The sequence below is a fragment of the Homo sapiens genome, chromosome 16 (assembly GCF_000001405.40).
Source record: "Homo sapiens chromosome 16, GRCh38.p14 Primary Assembly".
Taxonomy (NCBI): Eukaryota; Metazoa; Chordata; class Mammalia; order Primates; family Hominidae; genus Homo; species Homo sapiens.
The window spans coordinates 66720269-66734203 of record NC_000016.10 but is presented as its reverse complement, the minus strand read 5'-3'; the positions used below and the strand labels follow the sequence as shown (position 1 = coordinate 66734203).

The 13935-nt window shown below is 44.2% G+C and overlaps 1 protein-coding gene across 5 annotated transcripts in view; it reads left to right on the top strand.

The window, feature by feature from the left end:
- DYNC1LI2 (dynein cytoplasmic 1 light intermediate chain 2) overlaps nucleotides 1-13311 on the top strand; it is a 30717-nt gene extending 17406 nt beyond the window's left edge. For 3 of the 5 annotated variants that reach the window (NM_001323955.2, NM_001286157.2, NM_006141.3), the window contains 7 exons: nucleotides 1730-1865; nucleotides 3981-4092; nucleotides 5105-5164; nucleotides 5962-6003; nucleotides 6399-6516; nucleotides 8260-8376; nucleotides 10382-13311. In NM_001323955.2, coding sequence (NP_001310884.1) covers nucleotides 1730-1865; nucleotides 3981-4092; nucleotides 5105-5164; nucleotides 5962-6003; nucleotides 6399-6516; nucleotides 8260-8376; nucleotides 10382-10482 — 686 coding nt within the window. In that variant the 3' untranslated portion in view covers nucleotides 10483-13311. Of the gene's footprint in view, nucleotides 1-1729; nucleotides 1866-3980; nucleotides 4093-5104; nucleotides 5165-5961; nucleotides 6004-6398; nucleotides 6517-8259; nucleotides 8377-9455; nucleotides 9544-10381 lie in introns of those variants that run through there. The other 2 variants (NR_136658.2, XM_017023008.2) reach the window with 2 other exon arrangements.
- Nucleotides 13312-13935: the final 624 nt, after the last annotated feature.

Below are 13935 nucleotides of genomic sequence, written 5' to 3'. Positions count from 1 at the left end.
CTGTGTGGGGCCTGGGTCACAGGCTTTCTTCCAAATGGGGCATCTTCAAAGAGATAAAGCACCTCCCAAACCCAGAATAGTGTTCTGCCAAAGAGAATTTGTATATATCTTTTTACTAGGTTTATGTTTTACTGTATCGGAGTTTTAGGTTTATTAACTTGTGTCTACCTTTGATCACTCATTTATTTGTTTGTTTGTTTGTTTGTTTTAAGATGGTGTTTCACCACTTTGGCCAGGCTAGTCTCAAATTCCTGACCTCAAGTGATCACCTACCTCAGCCTCCGAAAGTGCTGGGATTATAGCTGTTAGCTACTGCGCTCGGCGTATTTTTTAATTTTTTTTCTGAGACAGAGTCTGCTCTGTCACCCAGGCTGGAGTACAGTGGTGCAGTCTTAGCTCTTGTGCTCCTGGGTTCAAGCAATCCTCCTCCCTCAGCCTCCTGAGTACCTGGGACAACAGGTGTGCGCCACCACTTCCAGATTTTTGTTTGTTTGTTTTGAGACAGAGCTTCACTCTTGTCGTCCAGGCTGGAGTACAGTGGCATGATCTCGGCTCACTGCAACCTCCACCTCCTATGTTCAAGCGACCCTCCTGCCTCAGCCTCCCAAGTAGCTGGGATTACAGGCATGAGCCACCACACCCGGCTAGTTTTTGTATTTTTAGTAGAGAACAGGGTTTCACCATGTTGGCCAGGCTAGTCTCGAACTCCTGACCTCATGTGATCCACCCACCTCGGCCCCCTCAAAGTTCTGGGATTACAGGCGCGAGCCACCATGCCTGGCCATCTGGATAATTTTTGTATTTTTAGTAGAGACGGTTTCAGCATGTTGGCCAGGCTATTCTCGAATTCCTGACCTCAAGTAATCTGCCCTCCTTGGCCTCCCAAAGTGGTGGGATTACAGGCGTGAGCCACTGTGTCTGCCCACTTTTAATTAATGCTATACATTTGATAAGCTTTCCTATTAAGAATTTAATGTGATCATTTTATCATCAAATTACTTTTATCATACTGTCTTAGAAATATTTTTAAACTTTGCTTTTATGTAGAAAAGGTCAATTACCAAACAGGGTATTGTTTTATAGGCTACTGGTGTTTCCCATATGTTTATGTTTTGTGCTGTCCATGATAGAGAGGTGGTGTCTGTAGTCTTTTGAGTCCTGTTAACTATAAAAAGCCAATAGCAGTTGGTGCCGTGGTTCCACACCCTGGGGTGGAGGTGAGAGATGAGTTCCTGCCATCTTTTTTGGGATGGCCCATTAGCCTGTTGGCACCCATCCCTCAAAAGATGGGTTTAATGATAAATTTGGTCGCATGTAGGCATCTGTCTGGGAAGGAATCTGTGTACCTTGATACTCTGAGAGTGTTTTCCTGGGCTAACCTCAGAGCCAATACTTTACTTCTCAGGAAGTAATCTGTGGGATCAAGACAACAATTTACACGTTAAAAAATAAACTCTACAGCCCACTAGCATCAACATAGCTTTATGCTTTTGACTTCATTCATCTGCTACTATGACCTTTTTACTTTTTTATTTATTTATTTATTTTTACCAGTGTGCAGTATGCCTATGTAATACTATAAGCGTTTTAGTTTTTAAAATTGTAATGCTTTCTGTTGCTCATATATTGATCAAAAACTGATCAACCTATGAGTAGTACTTTGAGGTTGTATGTGTTCGATTTTGTCTCCTCCTGCAGTGAATTGATTTTTCTTGAGCAGATTGATTAGATGGAGCTGCCTTGATTTACACATCAGTGAAAGAAGAGAAAAACCTCGACTTGTTGTATAAGTATATTGTTCATAAAACATACGGTTTCCACTTCACCACACCTGCCTTAGTTGTGGAAAAGGATGCCGTTTTTATGTGAGTTATTTTGAGCTGATGCTTTGAAACTCTTCTTTTTAAAGTACATTTGCTTTTTACATTTTACCCCTTCAAGGAAGGTGCCTTCTGTCTGTGTCTTCTACAGCCAGCTCTCTCACTGCACCTTCTCTCTGTTCCTTTCCGGATTATGAGGCATCTGCCTGAGGGAAGTGGGTGGTGTGGTCAGGGGTGCTGCCTTTCTTCCTCGAGAGCAAGTTGCCAAAACCTAAGCCAGCCATTTTTGGCACTCACTGTCAACTCTGGTAAAATACTGGCTGGGGAGGGAATATAGGGAATTGTGCTTGGGGGATCCTGAATGTCTTCTATTAAAGCGCCTGCTTTATCTGTGTGTTGGCAGGGATGACTGCAAACATCCTCTCGGCATCTCTGTCAGCATGGGCTTTCGCTATATTAAGTGCTTACTGTGCTTCTGGCATTTCACATTTTGGGAGCCACCGGGATTGATTGTCCTCGATAGAGACTTGGATACCTGTTTTCCTAAGCTGGTGTCTTTCTCTCACTGGAGAATCATAGTGTTGCTGGATGCATAAATATGAAGCTGTGGTCTCTGACAAGACTTGTGTTAGCAGATTGATGTTCAGGCTTCAGTATCCTCCTGACTTAACAAACAATTACATTATTCATTCAGGAAACCTTATTCAGCACCCACTAGGTGCTCAGGTTCTCTGCAAAGGACACAGAAATGAATGATACGTGTTCCTTGCATATGGCACTGTCTAGAGGGGACATACACAGCTGAAGAAGGGAAGGGCAGTGATGGGGTTATGGAGGAAGTATGGCAGGGAAAGCAGGAGGGTGATGCTGGAAGACAAATGGTAGATCCCAGGCGGACTGGAAAGAATTGCAATAGGGGGAGCCGGGGAGTGCAGTCTGTGAGAGGCTGGAAATGTGAAAGCCAGGAGCTCTCAGGGATTTGGGTTGCCTCCTGCACAGTCAAGGAGAGTGTCACTCAGGCTAGTCATAGATGGCATACCTACAGGCTTGGGCTGATTTTAGATAGTTGTTCAGAGCAGTCAGGCAGGCGCCAGAGGCACAAGCCCTGTGAGAGGTGTGTTTGGAATCACTTGGTATCCAAATCACATGTCATCCCTAGGAGCAAGGAGACCGGTTGGATTTGGGGCTGGTCTGGAATGAAGAAGCATCTCTCAGCTTCCGAAGGCTGCATGGCTCACGGCAGTATCTCAATCATGCCCTGCCCGTTTGCACATTTGGTCCTGTTGGTAGTTACCTCTCTGGTGACTGGCAAAGTCAGCAAGGATATTGGGGTGGAGCACCCTGGCTAAGCACCCTCTTGATTATAGAGCTATGGAGTAGAAGACAGATGGAGAATGAGAGGCCTGTGAGAACAATCAGTCAGTTGCCATCTTTCAGAGCTGCTCGAGTTCAAAAGTGTGTCATACAGGGTATTTTACCATTGCTACCTTTAAGGGATTCAGGTGGGAACCCTAGGCTGTGGCTTCACATAATGGAACTTGGGTGCCATCCTACCCTGTGATGTTGAGCTGGCCAGCACTGGTGTAGGAACCTCAAGGACTCTGTGCTTCTCTGGTTTGGGGCCTAGGATAAACACAGGCCCTGCTTGCCCCTTGGTTCTAGGACACATCTTCCCATGCCAGCAAAGTTAATGAACCAGTCTACAAGATAACTGTTGAAAGAATTCTTAGAGAAACAACCCACAGGAGGGGAGCCATGTCAGAGCCCAAGAAAACCATCCCATCCTGAGCTCTGCCTTCTGTGCTGCTCTCTGCATCCTATTCTCTGTCGGAACAGGACCCCACTGTGTCCTTGCTCTTCTAGGCAGAGTTGTGGGAGAGTGCTAAATGCTTTTGAGTGGGGCAGCCTGTGGAATGGGATCTCATACTGGCTCCTTAGACCTTGGGCCCATGAACTCAGTATGGAGCAGGACCTGCGATGTTCTGATGGATTATACCCACAGTGTATTTTGGCACATCTGCCAAAAGCTACAAACAACCCCCAACAACTACACACTATATCTTGTGAGAAGTGTCCTACCCAGGAGTCCTGAATGTGATCTGAGTATGCTCTAAGGCAGCCCCAGGAAAAGCAATTCAGTCCCTCTCTCTTTGCCTTTAGACCTGCAGGCTGGGACAATGAAAAGAAAATAGCTATTTTACATGAAAATTTTACAACCGTGAAGCCGGAAGATGCATATGAAGACTTTATTGTGAAACCTCCCGTGAGAAAGGTAGTCAAAGACAATTGCTTTAAGGGTTTAGGGCCGGGCGCGGTGGCTGATGCCTGTAATCCCAGCACTTTGGGAGGCCAAAGCGGGCAGATCACATGAGGTCAGGAGTTTGAGACCAGCCTGGCGAACATGGCAAAACCCCATCTCCACTAAAATACAAAAATTAGCTGGGTATGGTGGCAAGCGCCTGTAATCCCAGCTACTTGGGAGGCTGAGGCATGAGAATCACTTGAACCTGGGAGGCAGAGATTGCAGTGAACCCAGATTGCGCCACTGCACTCCAACCTGGCAACAGAGTGAGACTCCATATCAAAAAAAGAAAAGAAGAAAAAGGGTTTAGGTGTTTTTTAATGCAAAAAGAAGCCTATAAAGATGGGGCGTGGTGGCTGATTCCTGTAATCCCAGCAGTTGGGAGGCTGAGGCAGGAGAATTGCTTGAACCTGGGAGGCGGAGGTTGTAATGAGCCGAGATCGGGCCACTGTACTCCAGCCTGGGTGACAAGAGCGAGACTCCATCTCAAAAAAAAAAAAAAAAAAAAAACTATAAAGAAACAGGTCTTACACATTGTATAGTTTGTGGGGGGTAGTGGGGAGTAGTAAGTCCCAGGGCCTTTTTGTTGATCTTTAAATGAGGTCTGGCGTTATGTAAATGGCTCAGGGCTGGTGGGAAGGAGTGATGGAATGCTCACCTGGAGTTGGTGGTGTTTCCCATTAAGTCCTGCCAGTGCTGCCGTTGCCTCTGGATTACTGTTACTGGATCCCCTCATGTGATGTCCTGCAGACCCTGAGGTGTTTAGAACCTGCCAGACTTAAAAATGCCAGTTGGCTACATGCTGCGGCTGGTTTTGGGAGAGGTCTGTGCCAGGCTAGAAAAATATTACTCTGCAGTCTCAGTAGGGATCTCCCAGACCTGTGTTGAAGCCTGAGCCTCGGACTCTCCTTTCGGCATGAAGTTTGACAGTGGTTAGGAGTATTCTTGGCCTGTGGCCACAAACATGTATGTTGTTTCACAGCTGGTCCACGACAAAGAGTTGGCAGCAGAAGATGAGCAGGTGTTCCTAATGAAGCAACAGGTAAGAAGACCAGTGAGGTTAGAACAGAGGCCTTCTCATGCATGAAATGCCAGTCCCTAGGGTGGGGTTGGGGGTGTCTGCATGTGGGAAGTCACAAAGAGCTTGCAGTGGTAGAGGGGTTGAGACCAGGTCTCCTCATTCCCTCCTTATTTCTAGGATTAGTTGGGGATGGACCACCTCCTTAGGAGATCACCTACCTGCCTTGCAGACTCTCCTACAGGAATAGTAGGATTCGCATCTTTTAAGTGCTCTTTCTTTGGAAATGTGGTTTTCTGGCATAATACTTCCTATGTTGACAGTTAACCAAGTAACCTGACCACACTTCCATTATTTCATGTAGCCTCACACAGCCCTGTACATAAAGGCAGGTGATGCCTGTTTTGCAGATGAGGAGAGTAACTTCCCCAAGCTGACAGTTTAGAATGCAGACTTCCCATTTCTGTCACCCAGATTATTGTTAGATGTGTCCTGGGTCCACCTATCATCTGCCCAGTGGTACAGGCAGGTCAGCAGGAAGTTTTGATGGTTCTTTTTCCAACTGTTTCCTTCTTTTTCCATCTTTTTCCTTTCTGTCCTTTGCTTGCTTCCTTAGCTTCAAAACTGGTTACTTGGAGTATTTTTTTTCACCATATACCAAACGGCTCAATTAAAATTTTTTGGCATCTGTGGTATAAAACATAGGACTTAGTTGTTGTTAATAGTGCCCTCTAGTGGAGTACTTGGAGTAAGTTTTTCTCTAGACCTTCAGTGCTCTCTGCAGGCCTTGGTTAATAGCCAGTTTGTCCCTCTCTTTGCAGTCACTCCTTGCCAAGCAACCAGCCACTCCCACGAGAGCTTCTGTGAGTACCTTACACTAAACAGAGGGTCAAGGCCCAGTGTTGTGGGTGTCATCAAACTTTATACCATTATTTGTGAGAGCGTATATTTGTGTGGGTTTTGTATTTTCAGTGGGAATTTGGTTTCCCTAAAGACCCATGACCAGAAACATAAAAGAAACTCAAGAAGTTTCTGATGAAAGAATACAACTCTGGGAATTAGAGTGAGCTGGCTTTGTTATCTGGATGTCTTTCTCTCAGGAGAAAGAGAGCCAGAAAGGGCTTGAATTGAGAGCATACTCCCAGTCCTGTACCATAGCCTGTGAAAAATATCCCTCAGAAGCATGTCTCCATTTGTGGCATATGTATTTTTTGTTATTGTTATGCCTGTGTGTGACCTTAGCTGCTTTTGGACTTAGGAATCTCCTGCAAGAGGACCCTCTGGCTCTCCAAGGACCCAGGGTCGGGGAGGGCCAGCCAGTGTGCCTAGCTCCTCCCCAGGCACGTCAGTAAAAAAGCCGGACCCAAACATCAAAAGTATGTATTCCTCAAAAGTATGTCTCTTTGGAGAGTAGTTTAGTTTTAGACCTGAGCCCTGCAGGGGCTGGGTGGCTGAGTCTATAAGGTGGAGACTCATGGAAGCCAGGCTATTCTCTTCCCCGATAAGGGCTACTTTCCATTTCCCCCATTCCAGAGGAAGAAGGTCCATGGTAGGCAGAGACCAGGGCCTGTTCCTTTGTTAGAATTGGTAGCCCATGCACCTGGCTCTGTGTGAGACCTCACTTAGGCCCTGCTCATTCCTTCAGAGAGGAATGCAAAATAGTAACTTTATTTTTTTAGAGACAGGGTCTCACTCTGTCACCCAGCCTGTGGCACAGTGATACGATCATAGCACACTGCAGCCTCAAACTCCTGGGCTCAAGTGATCCTCCCATGTCAACTCTGGAGTAGCTGGGACTATAGGCGTGTGCCACCATGCCCAGCTAATTTTTAAAATTTTTATTGTAGGCCAGATGCAGTGGCTCATGCCTATAATCCTAGTACTCTGGGAGGCCAAGGTGGGAGGATAGCTTGAGCTAAAGAGTTCGAGACTAGCCCGGGCAACATAGTGAGACCTCGCCTCTACAGAATATTGAAAAATTAGCTGGGCATGATGGTGCTTGCCTGTAGTCCCATCTACTCAAGTGGATGAAGCGGCAGGATTGCTTGGGCCCAGGGCATTGAGGCTGCAGTTGAGCTGTGATTATGCCACCATGCTCCAGCCAGGGTGACAGAGTGAGAGACTGTTTCAAAAAAAAAAAGGCCTGGCGTGGTGACTCAAGCCAGCACTTTGGGAGGCTGAGGCGGGCAGATCACTTGAGGGCAGGAGTTTGAGACCAGCCTGGCCAACATGGTGAAACCTTCTCTGTACAAAAATTAGCCAGGCGTGATGGTGGGCACCTGTAATCCCAGCTACTCGGGAGGCAGAGGCAGGAGAACGGCTTAATCCTGGGAGGTGGAGGTTGCAGTGAGCCGAGATTGTGCCATTGCACTCCAGCCTGGGTGACAGAGCAAGACTCCATTTCAAAAAAACACAAACAAAAATATTTTTTATAGAGGTAGGGGTCTCACTTACGTTGCCGAGGCTGATCTCAAGCTCCTAGCCTCAAGCAGTCCTACGCCCTTGGTCTCCCCAAGTGATGGGATTACAGGCGTGAGCCACCACCCCTGGCTGAGGGAGTCACTTTAAAATGTGTATTTTGAATCTGTAACTTTGTTTCTCATTATGTTTATATGATGACTGTCTATGAATTGTGGGGATTTTTCCCCCTTCACTTCTCTTGTCAAGCTCAATTACTTTTCAGATTAAGTAGCTTTTATCCCAGTAACTTAGTGATACTCACAGATACTGCCTGCAGTAAAATCATTAAAAAACAGTTTTATTTAATGCTTGTTTGATGGGTGTCTTCTATTCAGGATGTGAGCTTTTCACAGCAGGTTTGGAATGTTAAGTGCTCATGCAACTTTGAAAAACACTGTCTCATGGACGGGGAGGTGGTGTGGAGCACAGGTTATCTATTCTGCTCCCAAACAAGTGGGAAATGTAAACATGGTTCCACTTAGTAATCATGCTAAGTAGCCTCAGCAGTAGCAGTGTAAAGGCATCGTAGCGAATGAATGTTATCAATATCCTAGGAAGCTGATAGCCACAAGTGGCTAATGCCAAGCTGAGAACTAGGGTGTTTAATTTTAAGTCTTCCAGTTTATATGATGCTTTTTTTTCTCTTTAATTTTCCTTAGATAATGCAGCAAGTGAAGGGGTGTTGGCCAGCTTCTTCAACAGTCTGTTGAGTAAAAAGACAGGCTCTCCTGGAAGTCCTGGTGCTGGTGGGGTGCAGAGCACAGCCAAGAAGTCAGGTACAGAAGGGCCCTGGAGACTTGTGACTCTTGTGGTTGAGTAGTGCTGCAAGGATGGAGAGGCAGACACCTGCCCTGCAGACCCTGCAGTGTCCTGAATAGCCAAGCAAGGAAGCAGGTCTTCATTTCCTACTGAGCAGTGTGCCGTGCTTTCAGTGGGATTGCCTTACTACCATGCAGGTTTCCTTGGCACATTGAGAGTGGGATTTGTGTACATTTGGGTTCTCGGGAACTGGGTGTTGGGTGAGTTGAGGTATAGCCTAAATTACATATGTGGCCCTGTTGTAGAACCTCTCCAGTAGAAGTCATGGTCCATGGAGGGTGTACCAGTGACTTTTTTTTTCTTTTTCCAAGGTGGAGTTTTGCTCTTGTTGCCCAGGCTGGAGTGCAATGACGTGATCTCACTGCAACCTCCGCCTCCCAGGTTCAAGCGATTCTCCTGTCTCAGCCTCCCGAGTAGCTGGGATTACAGGCGCGTGCCATCATGCCCAGCTAATTTTTTGTATTTTTAGTAGAGATGTGGTTTCATCATGTTGGCCAGGCTGGTCTTGGAATTCCTGACCCCAGGTGATCCCTCCATCTTGGCCTCCCAAAGTGCTGGGATTACAGGTGTGAGCCACCGTCTGCGGCTGACTTTTTTTTTTTTTTTGATAGAGATGGAGTCTTGCTCTGTCGCCCAGGCTGGAGTACAGTGGCATGATCTCAACTCACTGCCAACCTCCACCACCCGGGTTCAAGCAATTCTCTTGCCTCAGCCTCCCGAGTAGCTGGGACTACAGGCACGCGCCACCACATCCGGCTAATTTTTTTGTATTTTTAGTAGAGACGGTTTTTCGCCATGTTGGCCAGGCTGTTCTCGAACTCCTGACCTCAGGTGATCCACCTGCCTTGGCCTCCCAAAGTGCTGGGATTAGTGCACCTGGCCTACTTTTAATTTTTTAAAATTATACTAAAGCCTTAGTTGTTCTGAACCAGTGATGTTTTATTTGTTCTATTTTTTTTTCTGTGATGCTTTGTAAGGATTTTTGTTTACTCCACTGCCCCCAGTTTGGCTGTGAACCCTCACTGTCTCACTGCAGAGTCAAGGCCTCCTCCTCCCTGAAGCTCCCTACTTGTCACATACACACCTCTGTGGCAGCCACCCACCTGTCCTTCCATGTAAGCAGGTAGGGCGGGTCTATGTCTTGGAGATCTCTGAAACAAAACAAAACATGTTTTCCTTGGGAATTACACATTTTCCCAAGAAGCTGGAGGACATTTTAAGGGGTTTTTGCTTTCCATTTTCCATTGGCTATAAGGTATGTTTATACATTGTTTTCCCTAATTGATGTCTTCAGGGCAGAGGAGACCCTCAGGAAATCACTTGGGGCAGCCTGGGCCTCCAGTGGCTCCTATGTTCTAAGAAACTCAGAGTCTGGTCTAGTGGCCCAGACTCTGGGCTGGTAGTATTCCCTTCTGGGAAATAGGTGTCTATTTCTAGGCCTGTTCGTGTCTGACAGCAGAAAAATACAAGTATAGATTTTGTGCAGGACTGAACTATCTTATTCTTATTGAAACATAATGTTTTCAGGCTATCCATTTGAGTCAGTCTAGAATGTTATAAACAAAAACACCTATCTGGGGCAAAGAAAATAGTTTCCTTCGTTGCTGAAATTCAGGTACTACCTCTAGGAAGATGGTGGTGAGAGTGCACAGGGGTCAGGGTTGGGTGGTGAGAGGGTTTTCAGAAAGGTTCTTGTATTTGGCACAAAGGCACCCCCCGCCAGAGAGCAGTCAAGTCACTCCCTTGGAGTTGGAGGAAGCACTGGCCTGTGACTTTTGGGATTAGGATGTGCCGAGTTGGGGTCTCCTCACCACTGCAGTAGAAAAGGGCTTTCCTCATTCTTATTAAGGTTACTGTCATCAAGTGATTATAGAAGGCGTATAATTTTAAATGCTCCTTTAAAAAAAATTGTTTCCTCTTCTCACATCATTACTTTGCTTTTTTGCTTTTTTTTTTTTTCAGGACAAAAGACTGTGTTGTCAAATGTTCAGGAAGAACTGGATAGAATGACTCGAAAGCCAGACTCTATGGTAACAAACTCTTCAACAGAAAATGAAGCCTGAACCTCCTTAAAAAGTGCATATGTCGAATGACCAAATAACTATGTATATTGATCTGCTAAGACCAGGATTTTTCTGATATGGCACATGCTATCAGTTTTTTGGGGCAGGGGAGATGAACTTTAAAAAAAAAAAAAAAACTTCATTGGCTTGTCCGAGTGTGAAATGCACATTTAGGAAGGTTACATGTCAGACCCTTTGTTAAGGATAACCCTTGGACTCTGGGGCATGTGGCTCTTTTGTGGGAGGCAAGCACATCTGGGCTTCTTGTGGAGGGGAAGGTAGAGTGAAAGAAAGAGGGCCCACTTTCTAACAGGGTGGAGCAAATGAGACCAAGAAATCATTGGTAAGATGATGGTTAGTCTGACCAGTTTCATGTTAGTAAATTCACTTGTTCTTGGGAAGCAGATTAAGTAGCAGAAAGTCCAGGAAAGAAAGACCAGAAGGAGTAATGAGACAAGTGATGGTGGGGAAGCTGAATGTTGAGGGAGGTGGAGGAAGGAGGAGATGAGCAGTGTCAGTAAATACTGTGCATTCAGTAGAAGTTGAAGAATCATTGTTAGAAGCATTTCCAAACAAAACACTAAGCAAAATGGGAATTAGGCTTATTTTGAATGCATCTTTAACTTACGAAAGATGTACTAATTGTGGGGGTGCCTGAGTCAGGCGGAGCTGACCCAGGGGTGGGAACGATGGCAGCTGCCCAGGACCCATGTGCTTGGCCCAGGCTATGTCCTCGTGAGAGGTACTGGGGTCCACGGATATGTGTTGTGGGGCAGACAGTCACTGTGGGATGTCTTCAAAGTCAGCAGTTACAGAATTAGTTTACTTTGAATTTTGTTGTCTAAATAGCTCCTGCTTTATTTTTTAAATTAAATTTTTTGTTTTTACTATCACAGGCTGGCCTAACTAATACAAAATAGGTGATGAACCTCTGGTTTTACCATAATGCAATGTGCCACGGAAAGTTTGGGGGAGGTTTTTAATGTAATTGCACTCTGGTTAATTGGCTCGTACCAAGCCCTGCCTTATGACTTGTGGAAAGCTTCAAGGAGTTCCACTGATGCAAAAGGGTCTTTTCCTAGCTTCCTGGTCTGATCAGTGCTATGAGATGGACAGATAAGTGTGAATGTTTTATACAGAAAATGGAAATGATACATTTCTCTTGTTAGGTGTTTTCATAAAATGTAGCATTTTTTTTCTTATGGAAATAAGAGTTTCAGGTGTCTCCCCACCTAGGGCAAATTCATGCACATTGTCATGTTATACCACCATTCTGGAAATGATTTCTGTGGATTTGAAATTGCACTTTTAATTTTATATATGACAGCATTTAAATGCAAACACTACCATGAATTTAATGTATAAAATGTTGTCAAACCAAGGGAAAAAACCACAGTTCACCATGTGGAGTTTACTTTTTTTATATGAATGTTTGTTGTACTGTGTCTAAGCATAACTTCCCTAATGTCATTACTTTTACATACCAGATTTGACTGACCACTAATGTAGTACTGGGGATAACTTAATATCCTATGTTGTGTCAAGACTCTTTGAAGACTTTCTTGAATTGCTTTCGTAAAGGTCTGAACACTGTTAAGGAGAAAGCTGAGTATCAACTTGCCTTTCTGATAGAAATGTTTCTTGTGCCAGTTTTATTGTTGAGATATACTATTTTTTTCCTTTTTTAATTCAGTTTTTTAAAAAAACAAATGTATTGTGGCTTCCAGTTACCAGGTTGTCTAGGTAATGACAGTAAACTGACTGTAGAATGATAATTGTGGTATAGTGACCAATAGATGCCAAACAGCTTGTGGCCTCACTAAAGGTGGGGTCGCTTAGTCCCCGGGAGTAAAATGAGTGACCTCAGAAACAAGAATTCCTGGAAAGGCACATGCCGAAGAGGAATATGGTATAATTTTAAATTTTAATGCAAAATTTTAATTTGTCTTTATTTTTTATCATTTGAACTGATAAGCACTTTTTGTGTCAATATAAAATATACTAAAACTGATGAAATGCTAAGACATGTCTTGTGAAGGAAGGTTTCTTGGAGACCACTTTTATTTACTCATGAGAAGTGGAAGCTCCTAGTATCAGAAGAAGCTGATACATAGTGTCATGTGCTCAGTGGTTGCCAAAGTCTACCAACTTTGGGGAGCTGCAGGGTTCTTTTTGGGAGGTGGGAGGAAGGGAGATGAGTTTTGTTATTTTGGGGTTTTCAAGCATTGGAACCAAAGGCCAAATAATAAACAGCCTTTAGTTTTTAAAGTAAAATTCATTTTATTTGCAGAGTACACTTGTATGGTAGACTGTTAAAGACAATTTTATGACTATTTATGCACATTATAATGGTTACATCTGCTTTTTGTCTTTAAAATAAAAAAAAAAATCAGAGAAAAGCCCACCTTTGAATACGTGGCTGAAGATAACAGCCAAGAATTGGTCTTTCCTAAAAATGCAACAGATAATGCTGCTAGATTGTTATTTTGTTTGCACTTTTTTTTGATTGGCATTTTAAAATCGGTATTTAAACTGAAGACATTGTCATGTTTTATTAATTTAACAAAGTTGAAAGTGACTGCTCTGTACATCATGACCTTAACAATGTTAATGCTGTAAGTGAAAGTTCACTGTCGTCTGTATACTAAATTTATTGGTGTTTCTAACTTAAAAGTAAGACTGCAGATTATCCCCCACCAGCCTTAGTCCAGGGGTGTGGCTCTGTCCGGGTGCAGTATGCAGTCATGTGGAACCTTGCTTTCTAGTCCTGGGAAAAAAAGATGTCTCTAATTACTGGCTTCAATAAACACGAATCCAGACTGCTTACAAGTTTTGGTGGCTTTCTTTATGGTGAATCATCCCACTGGAGATACATTGAATTTTCTGCTAATCATATGGGGTATCTGATCACATAACTAAAAATGTTTACCTGTCTCACTTGAAATTGTCAGAAATTCTGGAAAGAATAACATTGTAAAGCCATATTTATTTTATCTTATTTTTTAGAGCTGGGGGTTGTCAAGTCTGGTCTTGAACTCCTGGCCTCCAGTGGTTCTCCCGCCTTGGCCTCCCAAAGTGCTGGAGTTATAGGTGTGAGCCACCACACCCAGCCTGGTTTTTTTGGTTTTTAAAAATTACAACCATCCTCATGAGTATGAAGGTGGTGGGTATCTCAGTGACTAACGATGTTAAGGAGCATCTTTTGATGTGTGTATTGGCCATTTATATATCTTTGGAGAAATGTCTATTCAGATTCTTTGCTCATTTTAAAATTAGGTTATTTGCCTTTTGTGTTTTTTGTGTTTGTTTTGAGGGTCTTGCTTGTGTCTCAGCCTCCCAAAGTGCTGGGATTATAGACATGAGTCACTGCACCCAGCCTATTTGACTTTTTATCATTGGGTTGTAAGAGTTATTTATGTATTCTGGATACTATACTCTTAACAGATATAACTC